Source organism: Homo sapiens, chromosome 18, assembly GCF_000001405.40.
Source record: "Homo sapiens chromosome 18, GRCh38.p14 Primary Assembly".
NCBI lineage: Eukaryota > Metazoa > Chordata > Mammalia > Primates > Hominidae > Homo > Homo sapiens.
Genome location: NC_000018.10, coordinates 12,656,162 through 12,681,229, shown reverse-complemented (window position 1 = coordinate 12,681,229; position 25,068 = coordinate 12,656,162). Strand labels below are relative to the sequence as shown.

The following is a 25,068-nucleotide window of genomic DNA, read 5'->3' as shown; positions in this document are numbered from 1 at the left end:
GAGTTCTTTATAAACATTTTTTTTTTTTTTTGGAAACAGAGTCTTACTCTGTTGCTGAGGCTGGAATGCAGTGGCGCGATTGTAGCTCACTGCAACCTCCGCCTCCCAAGTTCACGTGATTCTCTTGCCTCGCCTCCTGAGTAGCTGGGACTAATGGTGTGTGCTACCACACCCGGCTAATTTTTGTATTTTTAGTAGAGACAGAGTTTCCTTATGTTGGCCAGGCTGGTCTTGAACTCCTGACGTCATGTGATCCACCCGCCTTGGCCTCCCAAAGTGTTGGGATTACAGGCGTGAGCCACTGTGCCCAGCCAATAAATTTTTATTATAATTTAGTATTTAAGTATGTAATGAGGAAATAATATGGAAGAATGAATACTTCATTTTAATTTATCTTCCAGGGTGACTGTGAAGATCACGCTAACCTTCTGTGCAGCCTTCTTCTTGGATATGGATTAGAAGCCTTTGTTTGTGTTGGGACCAAGGCAAAAGGAGTACCTCATGCATGGGTTATGACTTGTGGAACTGATGGGGCCATCACTTTTTGGGAGAGTTTAACAGGACACAGGTTAGTTTACTAAGTTTATAAGGATATTAAAATGAAGTTATAAGTTTTTTTTTTTTTTTTTTTTTGAGATGGAGTCTCGCTCTGTCGCCCAGGCTGGAGTGCACTGGCACAATCTCAGCTCACTGCAACCTCCACCTCCCAGGTTCAAGCCGATTCTCCTGTCTCAGCCTCCCAAGTAGCTGGGATTACAGGCATGTGCCACCGCACCTGGCTGATTTTTGTATTTTTAGTAGAGACAAGTTTTCACCATGTTAGCCAGGCTGGTCTCGAACTCCTGACCTTAGGTGATCCACCTACCTCAGCCTCCCAAAGTGCTGGGATTACAGGCGTGAGCCACTGTGTCCGGCTTAAGTTATAAGTATTTTAAATTATAAGGGTTTTTTGTCCATATTGATGGTACTTGAAGGTACGTGTTGATGATTTTAGTTAGAGCCTTTTCAGTGATTATGTAAAAAAGTACTTCAATTATGGCAGCCAAGTAAATGAACTCTAAGAAAACTTTTACCTCAAATATTCTTTACCAACATGATGTTGGTAAACAGTAAATTATGTTTACTAGTTTTGTATGATTAGCATATTTTTTTTTCAGTTTTCTCTTTTTTTTTTTTTGCAGTGTCTCATTCTGTTGCTCAGGCTGGAGTGCAGTGGCACAGTCACAGCCCACTGCAGCCTCCCCCTCCTGGGTTCTGGTGGTCCTCCTACCTCAGCCTCTTGCGTAGCTGGGACTGCAGGTGTGCACAGCCATGCCTAGCTAATTTTTTTGTAGGGATGAGCTTTTGCTGTGTTGTCTAGGCTGGTCTTGAACTCCTGGGCTCAAGCAGTCTACCTGCCACGGCCTTCCAAAGTGCTGAGATTATAGGCATGAGCCACCACACCTGGCTGGCATATGTTTTTTTCTGATGATCATACCTAAGTCTGAAAATAAGTTCAAGTTGTAAATGATGATTTCTTTTTAAAATTTGATGTGGTTACCATCTCCACGTTGGCAAATCCACTGGACACATTTTTTAAAGTACTTTAGCCTGTCATTAGATTTTGAAACAGCTGAGTACTTCTGTTGTAGGACTTCTTCCTTAGTTCAGCTAAGAGCTGAGTCCTTGTCACATGGCCACGAAAAATTAGGCTCGCAGGCAATTTGAAGGGGGAGAAAAATGGAATTTATTGAACAAAAAGGAAAAACACTGGGAAACGGACGCTCCACAAAGCCAGAGTGCCTGCTAGTGTGCTTCGTGCCTGCTAGTGTGCTTCCTGCCTGCTAGTGTGCTTCCTGCCTCGCAGATTGAATTCCAGCTTCCACTCAGGAAGAGGAGGGGCCAAGCTCCTCCCCACTGCAAATTGCTCGAACTTCTGTGGCTTCTCCCCAGTGTGCACTCCTCCCAGTGCACAGGCTGGTTGGAGTTTCTCTGGGGACCCCTTTCCACCTGGCTGTCTCACTTCTTTCTTCATGGAACATTCTCTTTCCTTAGCTTCTTTTTTATCATTGTCTTTCAATATTTATTATTCCTCTCTGGCTGTTCTTAGTTTTTCCTTCATCTTGTCTTTAAATGTGTGTGTTCTAGAGGCCCAGCCCTGGGCCCTCTTTTCATTCCCGAGTCCTCTTTCTCCCTGGTTGATAATCATGCCTAATAATGTTTTGGTTAGTTGTGCCTAAAAATGCATAACCAAATTATTTTAATTATGTTATCTGAGGCAAACTTTTTTTATTTTTATTTTTTTTTCTTGGAGATGGAGTTTCGCCCTTGTTGCTCAGGCTGGACGGCTCACTGCAGCCTCCGCCTCCCGGGTTCAAGCAATTCTCCTGGCTTAGCCTCCCGAGTAGCTGGGACTACAGGCACGTGCTCCCATGCCCAGCTAATTTTTGTATTTTTAGCAGAGACGGGGTTTCACCATGTTGGTCAGGTTAGTCTCGAACTCTTGACCTCAGGTGATCCCCCTGCCTCGGCCTCCCAAAGTGCTGGGACTACCGCATCCGGCCTTTGATCTTAACAGTATACATAGAATGTATTCTGTTGTTAACAGAGTTGGTTTCAATATTGTAAAGACGTACCATACAATTAATACAGAGTAATCAAATTGTGGAAATATAAAAAAGAAAAACAAGTATTAAACTGTAGTTCTGAGAAGTAGTTATGGCCTTAAGTGTTAGAATAATTTTCTCAGTAAGATGCTGCCTTTTTAATTTTTAAGTTCTCATATATAAAATTATTTAATTTTTTTAGGTACATCCATAAACCTACCAATCCTGATGAACCTCCAGTTGCTGAACAGCCCAAACCACTGTACCCATATCGAACAATTGGTTGTGTTTTCAACCATCAGATGTTCCTGGGAAATTGTCAACCCTCTGATGCAGTAGAAACCTGTGTATTTGATTTGAACGATGAATCCAAATGGAAACCCATGAGTGAGGAAGCAATTAAATCTGTGTGTGCTCCTGGAGCTACAACATCCCTTCCTCCCTTTCCACCTCTGTGTGCATCCACAATTGACGCGTCAGTAACAAGTAATGAAATTGAAATGCAGCTGAGGCTCCTGGTGTCAGAACACAGGAAGGTAATTCACACTGAAATAGTTGTAGTTTCATACTTCTTTTCATTTATGTATTTAACTGTTTTTTGGTGTGTGTGATAGTGCCAGTCACTATTCTAGCCCTGAACAAAACAACTACAGTCCCTACTATTATGAAGCTTATAATTTTGAAAGTCATGAGAGTTCAAGTTCTGAGACTCAAAAATCTTCAAATTAATTAATACTTATAGAATGAATTACTTCCTCCTAGAAATGAAGAATGGTGAACTTGTTCACATCCCTTAGAGTCAAGATTTTTGCTGAATACCACTATTTGGATTTTGTCTTTGTGAAATGCTTATTCACATATTTGCCCCTTAAAAAATCCTGGGTTAGGCTGGGCTTGATGGCTCATGCCTATAACCCCAGCACTTTGGGAGGCTGAGGTGGGTGGATCGCTTGAGCCCAGGAGTTCAAGACCAGCCTGGGGAATATGGTGAAACATCATCTCTATTATTTTTTAAAGAAAAAATATGTATACTGGGTTATACTTTTTTCATATTCATTTTTCTCCCCAGGTTGGTTTCTGTTTGTTTTCATGTTGTACTCAACTGGGTAGACGTCTGGCTTTAATTTGCATTTCCCTGATTACTTTTGAGATCAAACCTCTTTTTTTTTTTTTTTTTTTTTTTTTTGAGATGGAATCTCTCGCTCTGTCACCCAGGCTGGAGCGCAGTGGCGTGATCTTGGCACAGTGGCGTGATCTTGGTTCACTGCAACCTCTACCTCCCAGGTTTAAGCAATTCTCCTGCCTCAGCCTCCTGAATAACTGGGATTATAGACATGTGCTACCACGCTGCCAGTTTTTGTATTTTTTGTAGAGATAGGGTTTCACCATGTTGGCCAGGCTGATCTCGAAGTGATCTACCTGCCTCAGCCTCCCAAAGTGCTGGGATTACAGTTGTGAGCCACTGCGCCCAGCCAGATCAAGCCTCTTGTCAAATAGCATGTAGATTTCCTTTGTAAAGTGCTTTTAAGAAGACATAAAAAGTATTAGTCATAAAGGAAAAGATTAATGTATCTTAAAGACTTAAGCTCATCAAGAGAAGACATTAAGAGATTGAAGCTGTGGGGTGGGAAAAGTTGTTTGTAACACATATCACCAACAAAGGACTAGAATCCAAAATGCCTACAAAATATTTCTGATTCACCTTTTAGGGTTCCCTGTTCCACTCCTCACCTTGGGTGAGCCCTGTTTTCTGTGTTCTTTGGGGCTATCAAAGGCAAACTGATTTATCAAACATGTTCTCTGGGTTCCCAGTTACTCTTAGCTTTGGCCTCTAAATATTTCTTATTCACTTGTCAACTTATCAAAGCATTTAAACATACATTTTGGAAAACCTGGCATTTGTAATATGTTTTCAGCAAAAGTTGGTCAGGGGACCTCTGGTCCATTATATTGCTGGAAATGAATGCCCCTTATTACTTTTTCTTTCCTTCCATCACTTGTATTGGCTTTAGCTTTCTTTTCTTAGGTTCTGCTTACAAATAAAAGCAATATCTTATAAAAATTACTTTTGGCCAGGCACAGTGTCTCACGCCTGTAATCCCAGCAGTTTGGGAGGCTGAGATGGGTGGATTGCTTGAGCTCAGGAGTTCAAGACCAGCCTGGGCAACGTGGTGAGACCCTATCTCTACAAAAAGTACAAAAATTAGCCGGGTGTGGTGGTGCATGCCTGTAGTCCCAGATACTCGGAGGCTGAGGTGAAAGGAGCCGGGGAGGCAGAGGTTGCAGTGAGCCGAGATTGTGCCACTGCACTCCAGCCTGGGTGACAGAGTAAGACCCTGTCTCAAAAAAAAAAAAAAAAAAAAAAGGAATTACTGTTTACAGAAAAAGAAAACAAAGCTGTGATAGATGCCAGTGTTGATCACTATTTAAGTTAAGGTGCCTGTAAATCAGCAAAAGTTCACATTTTGCCGCAGGAAAAGCATTGTTAATCGTGGATCTTTGAGACCATTTGTGATGAGTTAAAACCTTGAATATAAAATGAGGAAATACCAAAGATCCATTATGATAATCAAAATATCTAGAATTTTGAGAATTTTTTGTATTTGTAATATTATTATTTTTAACTTCATGTGTCCAGATATCAATAGGTCTTTTGGTGTTATAAATGGAATCATGGGCTGGGCACGGTGGCTTATGCCTGTAATCCCAGCACTTTGGGAGGCCGAGGTGGGTGGATCACTTGAGGTCAGGAGTTTGAGACCAGCCTGGCCAACATGGTGAAAGCCCGTCTCTACTAAAAATACAAAAATTAGCCGGGCATGGTGGCAGGTGTCTGTAGTCCCAGCTACTCAGGAGTCTGAGGCAGGAGAATCGCTTGAACCTGGGAGGCAGAGGTTGCAGTGAGCCGAGATCGCGCCACTGCATTCCAGCCTGGGCAACAGAGTAAGACTCTGTCTCAAAAAATTTAAAAAAATAAAAAATAAATGGAATCATGTTGTTTTTAACATTCCATAGAAATATGTTTTAAGCTCCCTAAGGGCCTATAAAATGTCTTCATCTTTTTATCTCTTACAGTATATAAGTTTTATAGAGTACATGTTCAGTAAATATTTGTTTAATCACATAGAATTAATTTGTTGACTTTTCTCACCTCTGTAGTTGAGTTTATGGTAGGAAGAGTCAGTCTTTAGTAAACAGATTCATTCTTACTAAACTCTTTTTTATTTATTTTATTTATTTATTTTTTTTGAGACAGAGTCTCGCTCTGTTGCCCAGGCTGGAGTGCAGTGGCACGATCTCGGCTCACTGCAAGCTCTGCCTCCCGGATTCATACCATTCTCCTGCCTCAGCCTCCCAAGTAGCTGGGACTACATGCACCCGCCACCACGCCCAACTCATTTTTTGTATTTTTAGTAGATACAGGGTTTCACCTTGTTAGCCAGGATGGTCTCAATCTCCTGACCTCATGATCCGCCCACCTCAGCCTCCCAAACTGCTGGGATTACAGGCGTGAGCCACCGCACCCGGCCTAAACTCTTTAAAGTTAAGTAAAATATCTCAAAATATAAGAATTATACCTGTCCTCCATATTAGGACTATTTCATATAGTATTTTGTAGTAGATATTAGAGAAGTACAGGATTTGGAGACTTTGTGAACATTGTTTTGAATGTTTTTTGGTTGTTTCTCTAAAAAGTAAAATCTGATCACCTATAGTTCCTTTTATCTGATTTTTATTTCTATGTATCCCTATAATTATTATTATTAAAATATTATGATAGCTTTTAAAAATCTTTTCTTGGTATACATTAAAATAATCAACATTTTTATTTAGTTGGTTTTAAAAATATTAATGTATTTCACTTTTTCTTTTTCTCTTGATTGCTCATAGGATCTTGGCCTCACTACTGTTTGGGAAGACCAGCTCTCCTACCTTTTATCACCAGCTTTGGCTTCTTATGAATTTGAGCGTACAACAAGTATATCAGCAGGCAATGAAGAATTTCAAGATGCCATAAGAAGGGCTGTACCTGATGGTCACACATTTAAAGGGTTCCCAATACATTTTGTGTATAGAAATGCAAGACGTGCATTTGCCACATGTCTTCGGTAAGGTGTAATTTACGGAATCATTTTTTCAGTTTAGGAGTCTTACAGATCAGTCCGGCAGGGGTTTTTTTAATTTCCTTTTTTTTTTTTTTTTAACTCAAGGTCTTGCTCTGCTGCCCATGCTGGAGTACAGTGGCACAGTTATGGCTCACTGTAGCCTTGACCTCCTGGGCCCAAGTGACCCTTCCACCTCACCCTCCCAGGCAACTGGGACCACAGGCATGTGCCACCATACCTGGCTATTTTTTTTATCTTTATTTTGTAGAGATGGGGGTCTTCCTATGTTGCCCAGGCTGGTCTTGAACTCCTGGGCTCAAGCAGTCTTCCCACCTCAGCCTCCCAAATTGCTGGGATTACAGGTGTGAGCCGTTGCACCCAGCCTAATCTGGTAGTTATTTAGAAATGACATCCAAGTCATATGGGAGCTTTTACAATGACTGACCCTCCTTGCCACAGATTTTGATTCATTTGGTCTGAAATGTAGCCCTAGATAGTCTGGGATTATTTGCCCAGTGATTTTGGTGCAGTCTCAGGTATCTCTGATTTTGTTTGGACTATAAGGAAATAGTCTATAATTTGAATAGCTTGACCAAAATTACAGTGTCTTTGATAGCAGAGACAGAATTTGAAAAAATTATTTTATTTATTTATTTTTGAGATGGAGTCTCAGTCTGTCGCCCAGGCTGTAGTGCAGTGGCACATTCTTGGCTCACTGCAACCTCTGCCTCCTGGATTCAAGCGATTCTCCTGCCTCAGCCTCCCAAGTAGCTGGGATTACAGACGCCCGCCACCACACGCGGCTAATTTTTGTAATTTTTAGTAGAGGCGGGGTTTCACTATGTTGGCCAAGCTGGTCTTGAACTCCTGACCTCAGGTGATCCACCTGTCTCGGCCTCCCAAAGTGCTGGGATTACAGGCATGAGCCACCACGCCTAGCCTGAAAAAATTATTTTAAATACTGATTTACTTGCAAATAAGGAATTAAAGTGTATGGTCACTTCTTAATTGAATAATTTTTTTTTTCTTAAATAGATCTCCTTTCTGTGAAGAAATAATCTGTTGCCGTGGAGACCAAGTGCGACTGGCAGTTCGTGTCCGAGTATTTACTTACCCTGAATCTGCATGTGCTGTTTGGATCATGTTTGCTTGTAAATATCGCTCGGTATTATAGGGCCAATATTTATATAAGATTTATACCTGTGTTTAATTGGAATTTTACACATTGTACATTACTTAGCTATTTAGAGGTTTGTTATTTTAAAATCACAATCTGGCTTGAATGGCATACTTCAATTTTGTATATACTTGACTGGTAATGTTTAAAAAAAATCATGCATTCCTTTAAAAATTAAGGCTGAAAAACTTGTATAAATCTCCCTGGAATTTAGTATAAATTAAGTGTATATTCTATTTTAATAAATGCTACTTTGTTTACAGTTATCAGTAGTTTAAATATTAATATAAAATGCATTCAGTTTTCTTTACACAAACAGGTAATCAAAGAGATGTTTGTCTAAGGGTTTGAGCCCTAGACAAATCAGTATGATCATTACTTTTCACAGGTTAATGGAATTATTTTATACAGATTAGGAGAAATTAACCTCATGACAGATTTATTTATTGCATTGGTGAAAATAAATGTTAATGAATTACCACTTTTGTGGTTTATTCGTGGTCCTTGGGATATTTGAGACTGTCCAGAAATTTATGGTTGGACCTTGAAGCAAGAGTAGGAAAAAACTAATACCAGAAAAGCATAAATATTAATAACCTCATATGAAAGTACATGAATCATTTAGAAATATTTATCACTGTGATTTGTTGTAAAAATGAATTGGGTATTTTAGAAAAACTTTATTATACCTCTTTGTTATGATACTGATAAATTGTGATCTTGCAGTCGATCACTGATTTTCTGTGGTCAGAGGATTCATTATTAGCCTCTTCATGGATTCTATCTTCTGAAACCCTTTTTTCTTTCATTGTGATAAAAAAATCAGCATATATGTGACTAATCTAAATAAGAGATTGATTGTGTGAGACCACTGAAAACAAGCATATGTGAGTGATTCCATACTGATTTTTGTTTTAAAATTGAGCACGTTTTAAAAATTTTGTAAGGCTCGGCGTAGTGGTTTATGCCTGTAATCCCAGCACTTTGGGAGGCCGAGGTGGGTGGATCACTTGAGGTCAGGAGTTCGTGACCAGCCTGGGCAACATGGTGAAACCCTGTCTCTACTAAAAATACGAAAATTAGGCCGGGTGCGGTGGCTCACACCTGTAATCCCAGCTACTCAGGAGGCTGAGGCAGGAGAATCGCTTGAACCTGGGAGGCAGAGGTTGCAGTGAGGTGAGATCGCGCCACTGCACTCCAGCATGGGAGGCAGAGCGAGACTGCATCTCAGAAAAAAAAAAAAGGGCCAGGCATGGTGGCTCACACCTGTAATGCCAGCACTTTGGGAGGCTGATGTGGGTGGATCACGAGGTCAGGGGTTCAAGACCAGCCTGGCCAACACAGTGAAACCCTGTCTCTACTAAAGATACAAAAATTAGCTGGGCATGGTGGCATGTGCCTGTAGTCTAGCTACTCAGGAGACTGAGGCAGGAGAATCGCTTGAACCTGGGAGGCGGAGGTTGTGATGAGCCAAGATCATGCCACTGTACTCCAGCGTGGGCAACAGAGCAATACTCCATCTCAAAAAAAATGTTTTTTATAAGTTAATTTTAAGTAGCTAGGCATGGTGTCACACACCCATAATCCAAGCTACTCGGGAGTCTGAGGCGGAAGGATCGCTTGAGTCCACAGAGGTGGTGAGCTAAGATCGCGTCACTGCATTCCAGCCTGGGTGACAGAGCAAGACTCTGTCTCAAAAAAAAAAAAAAAAAAAAAAAAGAAAGTGTGAAACCTGATTCCTCAACTTATTTTAAAATTTTATATATTAAAAAAAGTGTTAAGTGAACAAAAGTAAACTTTAAAAAGAGTAGCAATTCAACTTTTTGCAAGAAGCTGCATAATACATGATATGAGGGGTTTGATTGCCCATTTAGCACTTCTGTGCATAGTTCTTTTCATTTTTTTTAAGTTTTTTATTTTTTCAAAGAATCTTTGTTCACTCTGATATGTGTAGTTCTTAATTTAGTTGCTTTATCCATTGGTCTTAAGAAAGTAACTCTATACCAGTTGGCTATCCAAGTTATTAATTCTTTTAATCACTTTAATTCACCCCTACAAATAAAATGATTTCGTTTTTCGAAAATTAAAATCTAAAAGTGTCTTAAAATTTACTTTTTGGGCCAGGTGTGATGGCTCACACCTATAATCCCAGCACTTTTGGAGGCTGCGGCCAGAGGATGGCCCAAGAAGTAGCTCAAGACCAGCCTGGGAGCATAGAGAGACCCCCCCCTATTTCTCTAAAAGAATAAATCTACTTTGTTTTATTTTTATGTATAATAAATATTCAATTTGTTTAAAAAGTCTGAAATATTATGATCCCTCTTCTACAATTTTCATCAAAAATGGTAATCAGATGTTTCTTGTGAGACTGACATGACTGTAGAAAATTAGCAAAATAATAATTGAAGCTTTTTTTAAAGCATAGTGGTTCACACCTATAATTCCAGTACTCTGGGAGGCTGAGGCAGGAGAATCTCTTGGGTTCAGGAGTTTAAGACCAGCCTGGGCAACATAGCAAGAACCCCTCTCTACAAAAAATGTAAAAAATTAGCAGGGCGTGATCGTGCACACCTGTGGTCCCAGCTGCTTGGGAGGCTGAGGTGGGTGAATCACTTGAGCCCAAAAGATTGTGCCACTGCACTCCAGCCTGGGTGACAGAGCAAGACCCTATCTCAAAGAAAAAAAAAACTTTTTAAAAAAGTTAAAAAAAACCACTCTTTTGCCAAAATTACAAAAAAAGCTATCAACAGAAAATTGCTTGTAATTTTCAACTTTTGAGACAAACTATGAGGTATGTACTAAGAGACAGACTATATTAAGATCAAGGCTGTATTAACATTGAGGCTGAGCTTCCCACCTTATTGTACCAGAGTAACGTGTATTTCAAATGTGCTTTTGGTGTAAACTCTGTAATAAATATGCTTTTTATGCACCAATAGAGTCTGGCATTAATATTTTTCTCTGAAGACTTAATAAGGTAATTTCAGTGCATTTACCACTAGAAGTCTGCTATTCTTTTTTCTTTTTTTTTTGAGACAGAGTCTCACTCTGTTGCCCAGGCTGGAGTGCAGTGGCACAATCTTGGCTCACTGCAACCTCCACCTCGCAGGTTCAAGCAGTTCTCCTGCCTCAGCCTCCCAAGTAGCTGGGACTACAGGCACACGCTACCACGCCCAGCTAATTTTTTTGTATTTTATTAGAGAGGGGTTTCACCTTGTTGCCCAGGCTGGTCGCGAACTCCTGAGCTCAGGCAATCCACCTGCCTTGGCCTCCCCAAGTGCCGGGATTACAGGCATGGACCATCGCACCTGGCCTATTCTTCTTACTAATAATTTTTCTTTTTCTTTTTCTTTTCTTTTTTTTTTTGAGACAGTTTGGCTCTTGTTGCCCAGGCTGGAGTGCAATGGTGCAATCTCGGCTCACCGCAACCTCCGCCTCCTGGGTTCAAGTGATTCTCCTGACTCAGCCTCCCAAGTAGCTGGGATTACAGGCATGCGCCACCACACTTGGCTAATTTTTTTTAAGTAGAGACAGGGTTTCTGCATGTTGGTCAGGAGGGTCTCAAACTCCCGACCTCAGGTGATCCACCCGCCTTGGCCTCCCAAAGTGCTGGGATTACAGGCGTGAGCCACCATGCCTCGCCAATTTTTCTTTTTAAGAATTAAATTTACCTTGTATATTTAGCTGTCATAAAAGTTGTTTTTCAATTAAAAATGTAAAGTTTAAAAAACATAATGTCTCCAAGGTGGTGTTCTTGACAATATGTATGCCAACAGTCCCCTCTATATTATATATATGTAGTTTTATATATGTCTATTTAGTTAATAGAAAAATATCAGAAACCAGAAACTTCATTTTTCATTAGTCAAGCATGAACCTATTGAATAAAAATTTGAGCACAGCCTGGTCAACATAGTGAGATGGCATCTCTGAAAAATAAAAAAAATTGGGGCCAGGCGCGGTGGCTCATGCCTGTAATCCCAGCACTTTGGAAGGCCAAGGCGGGCGGATCACCTGAGGTCAGGAGTTCGAGACCAGCCTGACCAACATAGAGAAACCCTGTCTCTAGTAAAAATACAAAATTAGCTGGGCATGGTGGCGCATGCCTGTATTCCCAGCTACTCGGGAGGCTGAGACAGGAGAATCGCTTCAATCTGGGAGGTGGAGGTTGCCGTGAGCTGAGATCACACCACTGCACTCCAGCTTGGGAAACAGTGAAACTCTGTCTCAAAAAAAAAGAGGTTGCCGTGAGCTGAGATCACACCACTGCACTCCAGCTTGGGAAACAGTGAAACTCTGTCTCAAAAAAAAAAAAAAAAAAAAAAAAAAGTGCGGGGGGTGCGGTAGCTCAAGCCTGTAATTGGGAGGCTGAGGCAGGCAGATCACCTGGATCAGGAGTTCAAGACCAGCCTGGCCAACTTGATGAAACCCCGTCTCTACTAAAAATACAAAAATTAGCCAGGCATAGTAGCCCACACCTGTAATCCCAGCTACTTGGGAGGCTGAGGCAGGGGAATCGCTTAAACCCGGGAGGCGAAGGCTGCAGTGAGCCGAGATTGCTCTCCACTACACTCCAGCCTGGGTGACAGAGCAAGACTCTGTCTCAAAAAAAAAAAAAAAAAAAAAAGGAATAAAGTGTATCTTGCTAGGTAGACAACACATAGTTGAATCTTCTTTTTTTAATCCAGTCTGAACAGTTTCAGCTTTTTGATTGGATTAAGTACATTCACTATTTTTTTTTTTTTTTTTTTTTTTTTTTTTTTTGAGATGGAATCTTACTCTGTCTCCCAGGCTGGAGTGCAGTGGTGCAATCTTGGCTCCCTGCAACCTCTACCTCCTGGGTTCAAGTGATTCTCCTGCCTTAGCCTCCATAGCTGGGACCACAGGTGCACACCACTATGCCCAGCTAATTTTTGTAATTTTTGTATTTTTGGGTATGGACAGGGTTTTGTCTTGTTGGCAGGCTGGTCTCAAACTCCTGATCTCAAGTGATCTGCCCACCTCGGGTTCCCAAAGTGCTGAGATTATTGGCATCTGCGACGGCACCCAGCCTCCATCCACTTTTTTTGGCCAGTGGCGGTGGGAGGAGTTGGGGGAGGGTTGGAGTCTCAGTCTGTTGCCCAGTCTGGAGTGCAGTGGTGCAATCTCAGATCAATGCAACCTCCACCTCCCAGGTTCAGGTGATTTTCCTGCCTCAGCCTCCCAAATAGCTGGGATTACAGGCCTGCACCAACATGTCTGGCTAATTTTTGTATTTTTCGTAGGGACAGGGTCTCACCATGTTGGCCAGGCTGGTTTCAAACTCCTGACCTCAGGTGATACGCCTGCCTCGGCCTCCCAAAGTGCTGGGATTACAGGCGTGAGCCACTGCACCCAGCCCCATTCACATTTAATGTTATTATTGATGTGGCTGGATTTGTGTTTGCCATTTTACTTTTCCCTCGTGTTTTTTTCCCCCTTTGTTTCTCCCTTACTGCTTTCTTGTTCTATTTAAAAAAAAAAAAAAAAAAAAAGGATCAGAAAGCACCTGCAGGTCTATTGCTTTCTTCTGTGTTAAGTGAATATTATATTTTCTTTTCTTTTCTTTTTTTTTTTTTTTTTGAGAAAGAGTCTTGCTCTGTCACCCAGGCTGGAGTGCAGTGGCACGATCTTGGTTCACTGCAACCTCTGCCTCCCAGATTCAAGCAATTCTCCTGCCTCAGCCTCCCGAGTAGCTGGGAGTACAGGCACGTGCCACCACGCCCGGCTAATTTTTGTATTTTTACTAGAGACGGGGGTTTCACCATGTTGGCCAGGCTGGTCTTGAATTCCTGACCTTGTGATCCACCTGCCTTGGCCTCCCAAAGTGCTGGGATTGCAGGCATGAGCCACCCGGCCTGGCCGAATATTATATTTTCTTAATTTCAAGAGACTGTCTCACTCTGTCTTTGGGGATAGAGTGCAGTGGTGTGATCATAGCTCACTGCAGCCTTGAACACCTGGGCTCAACGGATCCTCTGGCCTCAGCCTCCAGAGTAGCTGGGACTACAGGCATGTACCACCACACTCAGCTAACTTTTAAAATTTTTTTGTAGAGACAAGGTCTCACTCAAATACAGGTCTTAAACTCATGGCCTCAAGCGATCCTCCTCACTCAGCCTCCCAAAGTGTTGGGATTACTGGTGTGAGCCACCATGCCCAGCCCAAAATAATATTTTCTAATTTAACATTTTAATTTATTTAATGATTTTTATCACTATTTTCAATATTTTCTTTTTTTAATCACTAATTTTTGAGGGGTTTTTTAGTGTTTGCTTTAGGGTTTCCATATACATCTTATTTTTGTTTGGTTGTTGTTGTTTTCCGTATACATCTTAATTTATCAGAATCAGATTGAGATTTATATTAGCTTAATTTCAGTAATATATGGAATTTTTAATTTTAAACTCATTATGAATAAGATTTACTTTTTTTGTCAATATATTAATAAAACTGATGTTTGGATTAAAGATGTTAAATTGGAATCTTCAGTTTTGATAAACCTGATTGGAAGAATCAAATAGCTTGTTTGTGATAAAGTAGAGGTTGTTCTAAATGTGGTAGAATAAATCAATTCAAAAGTTTTTTTTTTTTTGGCCGGGTGTGGTGACTGAAGCCTGTAATTCCACCCCTTTAGGAGGCCAAGGCAGGTAGATCAATTGAGTGAGGAGTTCGAGACCAGTTTGGGCAATGTGGCGAAACCCTGTCTCTACCAAAAATACAAAAACAAAAACAACAACAACCAGGCATGGTGCGTGCACCTGTAGTCCCATCTATTTGAGAAGCTGAGGTGGGAGGATCAATTGAGGCGGGACGTTAGGAGGCTTCAGTGAGCCATGATTGCACAATGCACTCCAGCCTGGGCAACAGAGGGAGACCCTACCTCACAAAAAAAAAAAAAAAAAAACCATAAAATTTTGTTAACCCTGAAAATGCCCATGGCATTAAGACAATATCACAGTTGAAGAATGACCATTACTTAGCAAACTTTGCAAGATAATAATTTTTTATTTTGAGCTGGGGGTCTCACTCTGTCACCCAGGCTAGAGTGCAGGGGTGTGATCACAGCTCACTTTTAACCTAGAACTCCTGGGCTCAAGTGATCCTCTTGCCTCAGCCTCTTAAGTAGCTGGGAATATAGGTGTATGCCACCATGACTGGCTAATTTTAAACTTTTTTTTTTTTTTTTTGTAGAGATGAGTTCTTGCTATGTTGCTCAGTCTGGTCTTGAACTTCTGGCATCAAGCATTCCTCCTGTCTCAGTCTCCCAAGATGCTGGGATCACAAGTATGAGCCACTGTGCCCAGCCACAAAGGAACAATTTTGATACAATTAAAATAATTGTGTTGGGCCGGGCACGGTGGCTCACGACTGTTATCCCAGCACTTTGGGAGGCCAGGGTGGGCAGATCACGGGGTCAGGCGTTCAAGACCAGCCTGGCCAACATGGTGAAACCCTGTCTCTACTAAAAATACAAAAATTAGCTGGGTGTGGTGGCGTGATCTGTAATCGCAGCTACTCGGGAGGCTGAGGCAGGAGAACTGCATGAGCCTGGGAGGCAGAGGTTGCAGTAAGCAGAGATTGTGCCAATGCACTCCAGTCTGGGTGACAAGAGCAAGACTCTGTCTCAAAAAAAATTAAAAAAAAATTTTTAAGAAGTTTGTTTAAAACATTCTCTTATAAATTTAGGTTAAGCTCTGGGATGTCATGTTTTTATGAATTTCAGTGTCAATAATTTTTCTTCCAACATCTCTTAAGAAGGATTAGATTGCTAGGTCGAGAGTAGGAGCGAGGGTTACACTTCTGGTTCCTGAGAGGCATGAACAGGTATGGCACATAAGGGAAAGACACAGTGTTCCATCAGTGGCTCTTTATACAAAAGATGAGGAGGACAGGAATTCAGGTTAACAGAACTGTTCAGGGGAAATCCTAAGGAAAAGCACAAGTATACATATAAGGCATGAACTCGATTCACTGCAACCTCTACCTCCTGGGCTCAAGCAATCCTCCCACCTCAGCCTCCCGAGTAGCTGGGACCACAGGCACATACCACCACGCCTATACCTTTACCTATACCCTTCTACAAAAATTACTAAGGCAAAACTTAAAAGACCAGCTTTTTAGCACATCTGGAATGTGCTGAATTCATTAAACATCTAGTTGAATTAAAGGGAAGTCATATTTTATGTTGATTACATGCTCACCTTGGAAGAGAAATGAGGTTCTCATAGGGTCAAAGTAGAATGCATAAAGAGCCAAGAGCAGCTCTAGACCTCTACCTGTACATCAGGGAAAAAAAAAACCTTTTTTGAGCAACAGGAAAGGGCCATCTTTTCTCAATAAAGATTAGGATAGATCGGGTGCAGTGGCTCACGCCAGCACTCTGGGAGGCTGAGGTGGGTGGATCACTTGAGATCAGGAGTTTGAGACCAGCCTGGCCAAAGTGGTGAAACCCTGTCTCTACTAAAAATACAAAAGTTAGCTGGGCATGGTGACGGGCGCCTGTAATCCTAGCTACTCAGGAGGCTGAGGCAGGAGAATCACTTGAACCTGGGAGGCAGAGGTTGCACTGAGCTGAGATTGTACCACTGCACTCCAGCCTGAGCGACAGAGCAAGACCCCGTCTTAAAAAAAAAAAAAAAAAAGATCAGGACAAATTAGCCAGGCACAGTGGTTCAAACCTGTAATCCCAGCACTTTGGGAGGCCAAGGCGGGAGGATCCCTTGAGCCCAGGAATTTGAGACCAGCTTGGGCAGCAGACCGAGACCCCTTCTCTACAAATTTTGTTTTTTTTGAGACGGAGTCTCGCTCTGTCACCCAGGCTGGAGTGCAATGGCGTGATCTTGGCTCACTGCGATCTCTGCCTCCCGGGTTCAAGCAATTCTCCTGCCTCAGCCTCCTGAGTAGCTGGGACTACAGGCACATGCCACCATGCCCGGCTAATTTTTGTATTTTAATTTTGTATTTTTAGTAGAGGTTTCACCGTGTTAGCCAGGATGGTCTCGATCTCCTGGCCTCGTGATCCACCCTTCTCGGCCTCTCAAAGTGCTGGGATTATAGGTGTGAGCCACCATGCCCGGCCTACAAAAAGTTTTAAAAAATTAGCGGGGTGTGGTGGCACATCCCTGTAGTCCCGGCCCATTCAGAAGGCTGAAGTGGGAGGACTCTTTTTTCTTTTGAGATGGAGTTTCGCTCTGGTTGCCCAGACTGGAGTGCAATGGCACGATCTCGGCTCACCGCAACCACCGCCCCTCCGGGTTCAAGCGATTCTCTTGCCTCAGCCTCCTAAGTAGCTGGGATTACAGGCATGCACCACCATGCCTAGCTAATTTTGTATTTTTAGTAGAGACAGGGTTTCTCCATGTTGGTCAGGCTGGTCTTGAACTCCCAACCTCAGGTGATCTGCCTGCCTCAACCTCCCAAAGTGCTGGGATTACAGGCATAAACCACTGTGCCCAGCTGGGAGGATTCTTTTGAGCACAGGAGTTAGAGGTTGCAGTGAGCTATGATCGCACCACTGCACTCCATCCAGCCTGGGCAGCAGAATGAGATTCTGTCTCTCTACACATACACACAATCAATCAGGAAAAATTAAATAATAGAGGCTTGAAAAAACATTTTTGCATTGTCTCATCAGCAAAGTGTGATTCAGTCTGAAAATTTTTAATTTACACAACACAAAACTCTGGTTAAAATTTTATTGATAATTCTCCATTTTTAAGCAATTATTGTCAAACATCAAACTTTGCTACAAAATAAAGATATTTTTGTGCCTGGTTGTGGTGGCTCACATCTGTAATCCCAGCACCTTGGGAGGAAGAGGTGGGTGGATTACTTGAGCTCAGAAGTTCCAGACCAGCCTGGGCAACATGGTGAAACCCCGTCTCTGCAAAAAAGTACAACAGTTAGCCGGTGTGGTCGTGTGCACCTGTGGTCCCAGCTACTTGGAAGGCTGAGGTGGGAGGACTGCTTGAACCTAGGAGGTGGAGATTGCAGTGAGCTGAGATCATGCCACTGGACTCAAGCCTTGGCCTCAAGAGCCTGTCTCAAAGAATATATATTTTTGGGCCTTATTTTGTTTTTAATTTCCCACTGGAATTAAGGAGTAAGCTACTGCTTGTCCTAATGTTTGAAATCTGATCAGAATTATGTAATATGACTATAAAAGAGTATTTGGAAAGTTTGTGTTATAGGAAATGTATTTGAATTATCTCAGGCCAACTAGCAGTAATTTGGGGTAAGTCACTTAACATTTGCAGGCTCCAATTTCCATAAGCATAAAATAGTGGCTTGGCCTAAAATTCATATTTATGAGGTCTTTTCCAAGTCAAATCTTCTTAACTAGTTGAAGCTAATAATTACACTTATATTCAGATCAGAACGTCATACATTTATAATGGTTTAAAAATAATTATCTTAAAGGAGAATCACATTAAGTAGGTGAAACGTGATTATTGCTTAGCCTAGTATTTTCCAGGGTCTCTCATGAACCCATTGATACACTATTGTTCACACATTTTATCTCAATCCTCTACTTTTCGTCAAAAAAAATGTTTTTCTTTTTTTTGAGACAAGGTCTCACTCTATCGCCCAGGCTGGAGGGCAGTGGCATGATCTCGGCTCACTGCAGCCTCTGCCTCCTGGGCTCAAGCGATTCTTGTGCCTCAGCCTTCCGAGCAGCTGGGATTATAGGTGTGCACCACCATGCCTGGTTACTTTTTTGTATTTTTTGTAGAGATGGATTTTCATCACATTGCCCAGGCTGGTCTCAAACTTGTGAGCTCAAATGATGCTCCTGCCTCAGCCTCCCAAAGTGCTGGGATTACAGGTGTGAGCCCCCATGGCCGGGCTCAGGACTTTATTCTCGCTCTCTGTGAGTGTACATGGACATTGTAATGTAGGAGAAAGAGCTGAGCTGGTCAGGAGGCCTGAATTCCAGTACCAACTGTTTCATTTACTGCTTCTGTATTTTGTCCTATGACTGTATTTTCTCTTCTGTAAGATAGGAATAATAATATCTGACCCTTCAAGTTGTATAACTGAAGAGCACATTTTGAAAGTATAAATAGCACTACAGATGTATAAGGTATTACAATTGTGGGCAATGAAAATTTAGGTTACAACATTAAAAAATATGCTGTTTTTTTTTTTTCCTTTCTGGTGCACTTTTCTAGGTGAATGTGCCTCTTAGGAGCACTTGTCCAGAAGTGTCTGGGAAAAGCTTGGGCTGCACAGTGATGGTGCTCCCTGAAAGACTCAGAGCAGCACAGCCAGTACCTCCAGAGTATGAAGCATGAAGTACACTTATTCTACAAGAATAAGAAGTAAATATAAAAAAAGTCAAGGATTCAATTTTTAATAAAGTAACAAAATCAACAAAACAAAATCATATTCAGAGTAACATGGACTTCACAGCACTTTGAAAAAGACATTTAAATGTTGATTTGAGTTGTTCAGACATTTTAAATATGAAGTCATAGAGTAAAAATACAATCAATGACTGAAATTGGGAACAAAATATCCTGAACATAAAGGCATTTGAATCTTTGGATTTTTTTTTTTTCTCTTTGAGACGGACTCTCACTCTGTCACCCTGGCTGGAGTGCAGTGGTACAATCTTGGCTCACAGCAATCTCCACTTCCTGGGTTCAAGCGATTCTCCTGCCTCAGCCTCCCGAGTAGCTGGGATTACAGGCATGCATCACCATGCCTGGCTAATTTTCTTTGCATTTTTAGTAGAGACGAGGTTTCACCATGTTGGCCAGACTGGTCTCGAACTCATGGCCTCAAGCGATCTGCCTGCGTTGGCTTCCCAAAGTGTTGGGATTACAGGTATGAGCCACTGCGCCTGGCCTCAAATCTTTGAATTTGAATTGAAAATGAGAAAATGGGACAGTGCTGTTATTCCACAGGGGTGCTAGAACTCCACTGAGAAGATATCAATGGCTGGTAGCCTTTGAGTGGTCAGCAGTCACTTTCAGAGTGTTGTGATGATGGATGACGGTAAGGCTTATCAATTTTTTTTCTTCTTTTTTGAGATGAAGGCTCACTCTTGTCACCCAGGCTGGGGTGCAATGGCGTGATCTCGGCTCACTGCACGCTCCGCCTCCCGGGTTCAAGTGATTCCCCTGCCTCAGCCTCCCGAGTAGCTGGGATTACAGGTGCCTGCCACCATGCCCAGCTAATTTTTGTATTTTTAGTAGAGACAGGTTTTTGCCATGTTGGCCAGGCTGGTCTCGAACTCCTGACCTCAGGTGATCTGCCCGCCTCGGCCTCCCAAACTGCTGGGATTACAGGCGTGAGCCACCATGCCTGGCCAGCTTATCAAAACTTTAAGGAGTACTGAAAATCATTTAGAAGTTAGTAAGTTATAGTCTTTATACAAAAAAGAGTCAAGTGTTCATGTTGTATAACTACACTTAGAAGACAGCTAGGATTTTAAAGATTTTCCTTTATTTTGTGTAGAGAAGAAACATCACACAATATTCTACTTGTCATCTTTCCTCAACTTAATTACATATATGCTCACACAGGCAAAATATTTAAGTATATCATACCATGAATTGTTACTTGGCAATAAAAAAAAAAGCCCTTCTGTTGGATATAACTGTCTTGTGATACAGTGCAGTAATGTCTCCCTCTCAAAATGTGTATATGTTAAAAAAAATCATCACTCAAGGAAAATCCTAGTGTTGCAAATTTGTTTTTAAGAATGTATCTTTTGGCCGGGCACAGTGGCTCACACCTGTAATCCCAGCGCTTTTGGAGGCTGAGGCGGGTGGACCACTGAAGTCAGGAGTTTGAGACCAGCCTGGCCAACATGGTAAAACCCTGTCTTTACTAAAAATACAAAAATTAGCCAGGCATGGTAGCGTGTGCCTGTAATCCCAGCTACTCGGGAGGCCGAGGCACGAGAATCATCTCAACCCAGGAGGCGGAAGTTGCAGTGAGCTGAAATCGCGGCACTGACCCTAGCCTGGGAGACAGGGTGAGACTCTGTCTCAATTAAAAAAAAAAAAAAAATGCATCTTTTTCCATTGATTAGAGGGATGACTAAAAAAAGAAGAATGCATCTTTTAAAAGATAAAGTTTGGATTTCCTTTACTCACTTCCTCCTTCCCTGTATTGTTGTCTTCAAGATTTATTTACTGCTCTATGCCAGGGTTAGCAGGTTAATGGCTCATAGATTCCTCAGTTTATTAACCCATTTATCTTGTTTACTGGTGGGTAAGGCAAAGATAAAAATGTGTTTGGCTGTAGTTGTCCAAGTGCAATGGGCAGCAGTATCCCATAAGGCCAGGAGGTGGTAGTGTTGTCCATAAAAGTAGACCTTCATTTTTTTTCCTGGATTGTTCAAAATATTTTAAACCAGTCTGTATTTGCAAAATCCACACAGGATAAACTTTTGAAATAGCAAAATTTGGGAATGTTTGTCTGTTTTTAATCAAGAGGACAGAGATATATTTATATGTATATAGTGTCACACATAAGGAATTACATGTTTGCCTCTCTGGGCTTTGGCACACATAGATACTGCATTGCTACAAATGAGATTATGAACCTATAATTAAGTGATGCTACTTTAAGGGGTTGTTTTGTCTCTCTCGTACTGAAATTATAATAAGTTGCCTGGGGAGCTTTCTTCTCCTCTTTCAATTTATTATTTATTTTTTTGAGACAGACTCTCGCTCTGTCCCCCAGGCTGGAGTGCAGTGGTGTGATCTTGGCTCATTGCAACTTCCACCTCCCAGGTTCAAGCGATTCTCCTGCCTCAGCCTCCCGGGTAGCTGGGATTACAAGCGTGCGTCACCACACTCGGCTAATTTTCTTTGTATTTTTAGTAGAGACAGGGTTTCCCCATGTTGGCCAGGCTGGTCTCGAACTCCTGACCTCAGTGATCTGCCCGCCTCAGCCTCCCAAAGTGCTGGGATTACAGGCCTAAGCCACTGCGCACGGCCCTCTTTCAATTTCTTAATTTTCCTTTTCGTCCTGTTGCTTTTCTCCCTCCTCCCCATTCCCAGCTGTATGTAAGATGGTATCTCATTTTAATAGACTGTTGTTATTTAAATAGACTGTTGTAGTTTCTACCGCAAGATGCAATTGTTGAGAGCGTGATTTCTAACATTTTACATAAAACTGCCGTAAAAGGTTTACTGGAACTTAATATACATTGCCTATTTGGTTGATGCTTTCAACACTCTGTAGGGCTTTCACACAGGACTAGCCTCAGTGGAATTTTATCGATTAAATTAATCTACCAATGGGTGATTAAGAATTATCTGTTTTATTGCATATTTAATAGGTTGGGGGGGCGGAATTCTTTCTTTCTACGGCTAATTGCCCTCAGTTCAATTTTACCACTGTGATATTCATTCCACATGCTCTGATGAGTGTGGTACTTGAGACATTACCTTAGTGAGGGAAGGGACCAATGTTACAAATGAATCCGGAAGGACGCTAAAACTAACACCTGCAAATTATGTACATGTTTATATTCCAGGCGCTGGTTTAGCTTTTGGGAGAAGTCAGTGAGGAAAACCCGTAAAGATCCCCGTCTTTACGGTGCTTACCCTGAAGATGGGAGTGGAGAGGGAGGTATTCAACCAGCAAGAAATCGGAAAACGCGCAGAGCGGCCGCGGGGTCACGGGAAACTGCCGGAGGCTTTCAGGGCCCAGGGCCCGGCGGGGAGGCTTCAGCGGGCCTGCATTTTCTTAGGCATCCGCTCCAGGCGGGTTCAAGTTTTCAACCAGACCTTCGGCGATCCAGCGCCTAGGGAACGTCAATGCGGGTGACTTCTCCCGCTGTGCAGGGCGGTGACCCGGGTTGGCGCGCCCAGTTCCCCGCCAGAGTCGGCCGGGGACTTCCCTGATAAATGCGACACCCTCTTGCCCCTGCGCCCCCCGACCGCGCGCCCGGCCCCGCGTGTCCCCCACGCCCCACAACCCTGCACGCCCTACCCGGCCGCGCATCCCCTCCGGACCGTGCGTCGCCGCCCTCACCATTGCGCCCCCAGCTGTGTGTCCCTTGCGACCGGGCCCCCCGACCGGGCGTCACCGCCTGCGACTCTGAGAGCCCTGCGGGCTAGAGACCGTGCGGCCATCTCGCCTCGAGGCGAGGCCCTCCTGCCTGGTCCTCACCTCCAGAGCGTGCATCCCCCGGCCCGTGCGGCCCCCTAAGGGGCGGGCGCTGGGCGGCGCTGGACGGCGCGAGGCGGGGCGGGGCGGGGCGGGGCGCCGGACGCCATCGCGTCGCTACCGGCCGGCGGCTGTCTGACCGGGACTGCAGCCGTGTCCTCGCCGCCCTCCTCTTGCCCACGCCTCCCGGGCACTCGCCTGGTCCCGGCGGCGGCGCGCGCGGCCGCGTTGGGCGGCGGCGGTTCCGGGGATGGTGAGGCGGCGGCGCGCGACGACGATGCTCCGGAGCTGAGGAGACGCCGGCACACGGCGCGACTGCCGAGCGCAGCGCCCACCCGCGGGATGGCTCAGGCGGCTGGCCCGGCGGGCGGCGGGGAGCCGCGGACTGAGGCAGTGGGCGGCGAGGGGCCGCGGGAGCCCGGGGCAGCCGGCGGCGCGGCCGGGGGCTCCCGGGACGCGCTGAGCCTGGAGGAGATCCTGCGGCTGTACAACCAGCCCATCAACGAGGAGCAGGCGTGGGCCGTGTGCTACCAGTGCTGCGGTTCCCTGCGCGCCGCCGCCCGCCGCCGCCAGCCCCGCCACCGTGTGCGCTCGGCCGCGCAGATCCGCGTCTGGAGGGACGGCGCCGTCACCCTGGCGCCCGCGGCCGACGACGCGGGAGAGCCGCCCCCAGTTGCGGGTGAGGCCGCCGGGCCCCTTTCCCTCGTAGTTCTTGGAACACCCGCGGCTGGGCCGCCTTACCCTCAGCGTCCCCGGCCCTTCCGCCCCCGCCGTCCCCCCCCATTTTGCCACGGGAGACCCCCGGGAGGATCCGGCGGGGACCCGCAGGGGAGGACGGCGTCAGGCCGTGGCTGGCCGGGGCCCCTCGGAGGTCAGAGCCTCGTGGCGGGCGACGGCGCAAATCCGCTGTGCGGAGGACGTTTGGGTGGGCCTGGGCCTGCGGGCCGCGGGGCGCTCGTCATTGTGCTGCCCGCGGGACAGCTGCCCGCGGCGCGTTTGGGAGCGGTGGGCTGGGCCCTGCTCCGGGCCAGCGGCCTGTGCGCCTCACGCCGTGGCTGCTGACACACGGCCGGGTTCACGGGGTGGGGAGGGCATCGCAGGCTTCACGCGGGGGCTCCGCACGGATCCTCAGTGCCGCTGTCGGAAACACCGCACTCCTCACGGGAAACTAGCAGTATTCCACATTAGACAGCCTTTCCTCGGTTCGGAAATGTAAAGATGATTCTGAACCGTGAGAATTCTGCTCTTTGGGGAGAAATGGAAAAATAGACTAAATAGTGATTTTTGGCTCCTGGACGTTAGAAAATACTGATTGCATTCCTGTATGTGAAAATTTGTTGTGATGAAAAACAGGCTTGTAAAGTGAAAAGTTGACAGGATGTCGGGATACAAAGAGAAAATGGGCCTTAGTTACGTCATTGTCTAATGTAAAATTTTCAGGATTATGACCTAAACAGTAATTTATAGCCAGGGTTTACTCAGATGCTCATTGAAGAGGAGGAGGAGGTTGAGAAAAGGTTTCTCCCATCAGTTTTTATCTAATTCATTCTTTTGAGAGGCAAGTCTATTAAAAACATAGAAAAACAATCTACCCTCACTTTTAGAAAGTTGATGGAAATGTCAAAATGCTTAAGGTGAAAGATGTAATTTCGAATTAGTAAAATGACATTTAATGAAAACCCTTGTCTAACTTGATTAAAACAATATTCAAGGTTATAGTTATTCTTTCAGTTCCACCAGAACGTTTTTATCTTTTATTTTTTAGTGTCAGGTAAACACATTTTTATTTACATGCTTTTATCTTTTATTTTTTAGCGTCAGGTAAACGATTTTTTATTTAAAGCCATCTTTTTAATTGTTCTTTTGAAACTATTTCAAATAGTATTTTTGTTTCTTTGATGGGCTTATTGCTTTTAAACTTGGACTTAATCTTAGTGGGAAATACTTGCAATTATAATTTATAGTGTATTAAATGGTACAAAAGATACATTTATAAAATACAGCAATGTCTGCCAGGTGCGGTGGCTCAAGCCTGTAATCCCAGCAC

At 43.7% G+C, this 25,068-nt stretch overlaps 3 protein-coding genes across 18 annotated transcripts in view, besides 6 other annotated features; 2 read left to right on the top strand and 1 right to left on the bottom strand.

The window, feature by feature from the left end:
* The window catches only part of CEP76 (centrosomal protein 76), a 40,822-nt gene extending 21,548 nt beyond the window's left edge, over nucleotides 1–19,274 (top strand). For 4 of the 8 annotated variants that reach the window (NM_001271989.2, XM_017025983.3, NM_024899.4 and 1 more), the window contains 4 exons: nucleotides 402–568; nucleotides 2,788–3,121; nucleotides 6,477–6,694; nucleotides 7,727–8,605. In NM_001271989.2, the coding sequence (NP_001258918.1) occupies nucleotides 402–568; nucleotides 2,788–3,121; nucleotides 6,477–6,694; nucleotides 7,727–7,865 (858 nt within the window). In that variant the 3' untranslated portion in view covers nucleotides 7,866–8,605. Of the gene's footprint in view, nucleotides 1–401; nucleotides 569–2,787; nucleotides 3,122–6,476; nucleotides 6,695–7,726; nucleotides 8,606–11,241; nucleotides 11,601–19,060 lie in introns of those variants that run through there. The other 4 variants (XM_047437808.1, XM_005258149.6, NR_073537.1 and 1 more) reach the window with 3 other exon arrangements.
* Nucleotides 1–22,492, bottom strand: part of PSMG2 (proteasome assembly chaperone 2) — a 67,003-nt gene extending 44,511 nt beyond the window's left edge. Inside the window, exon 1 of the mRNA NM_147163.2 lies at nucleotides 22,457–22,492. The gene's annotated coding sequence lies outside the window, so the exon portion shown is untranslated. The remainder of the gene's footprint in view (nucleotides 1–22,456) is intronic.
* SPIRE1 (spire type actin nucleation factor 1) overlaps nucleotides 19,139–25,068 on the top strand; it is a 215,580-nt gene continuing 209,650 nt past the window's right edge. For 5 of the 9 annotated variants that reach the window (NM_020148.3, XM_005258122.5, NM_001128626.2 and 2 more), the window contains exon 1: nucleotides 23,123–23,700. In NM_020148.3, the coding sequence (NP_064533.3) occupies nucleotides 23,364–23,700 (337 nt within the window). In that variant the 5' untranslated portion in view covers nucleotides 23,123–23,363. Of the gene's footprint in view, nucleotides 19,890–23,122; nucleotides 23,701–24,497; nucleotides 24,580–25,068 lie in introns of those variants that run through there. The other 4 variants (NM_001394324.1, NM_001128627.1, XM_024451224.2 and 1 more) reach the window with 2 other exon arrangements.
* Nucleotides 22,664–22,813: a silencer, noted in NCBI's record as "silent region_9318". NCBI's record gives its function as "represses an Ori minimal core promoter by ATAC-STARR-seq in GM12878 lymphoblastoid cells {active_cell/tissue: GM12878}" and the evidence as "EXISTENCE:reporter gene assay evidence [ECO:0000049][PMID:35858748]".
* Nucleotides 22,864–22,933: a silencer, noted in NCBI's record as "silent region_9317". NCBI's record gives its function as "represses an Ori minimal core promoter by ATAC-STARR-seq in GM12878 lymphoblastoid cells {active_cell/tissue: GM12878}" and the evidence as "EXISTENCE:reporter gene assay evidence [ECO:0000049][PMID:35858748]".
* Nucleotides 22,936–23,104: a silencer, noted in NCBI's record as "fragment chr18:12658125-12658293 (GRCh37/hg19 assembly coordinates)". NCBI's record gives its function as "represses an EF-1alpha promoter that drives an FKBP-Casp9 reporter gene in an ReSE screen in phorbol 12-myristate 13-acetate-treated (for megakaryocytic differentiation) K562 erythroleukemia cells {active_cell/tissue: K562(+PMA)}" and the evidence as "EXISTENCE:reporter gene assay evidence [ECO:0000049][PMID:32094911]".
* Nucleotides 22,936–23,393: a biological region, named in NCBI's record as "ReSE screen-validated silencer GRCh37_chr18:12658125-12658293".
* Nucleotides 22,974–23,393: a silencer, noted in NCBI's record as "silent region_9316". NCBI's record gives its function as "represses an Ori minimal core promoter by ATAC-STARR-seq in GM12878 lymphoblastoid cells {active_cell/tissue: GM12878}" and the evidence as "EXISTENCE:reporter gene assay evidence [ECO:0000049][PMID:35858748]".
* Nucleotides 23,584–23,703: a silencer, noted in NCBI's record as "silent region_9315". NCBI's record gives its function as "represses an Ori minimal core promoter by ATAC-STARR-seq in GM12878 lymphoblastoid cells {active_cell/tissue: GM12878}" and the evidence as "EXISTENCE:reporter gene assay evidence [ECO:0000049][PMID:35858748]".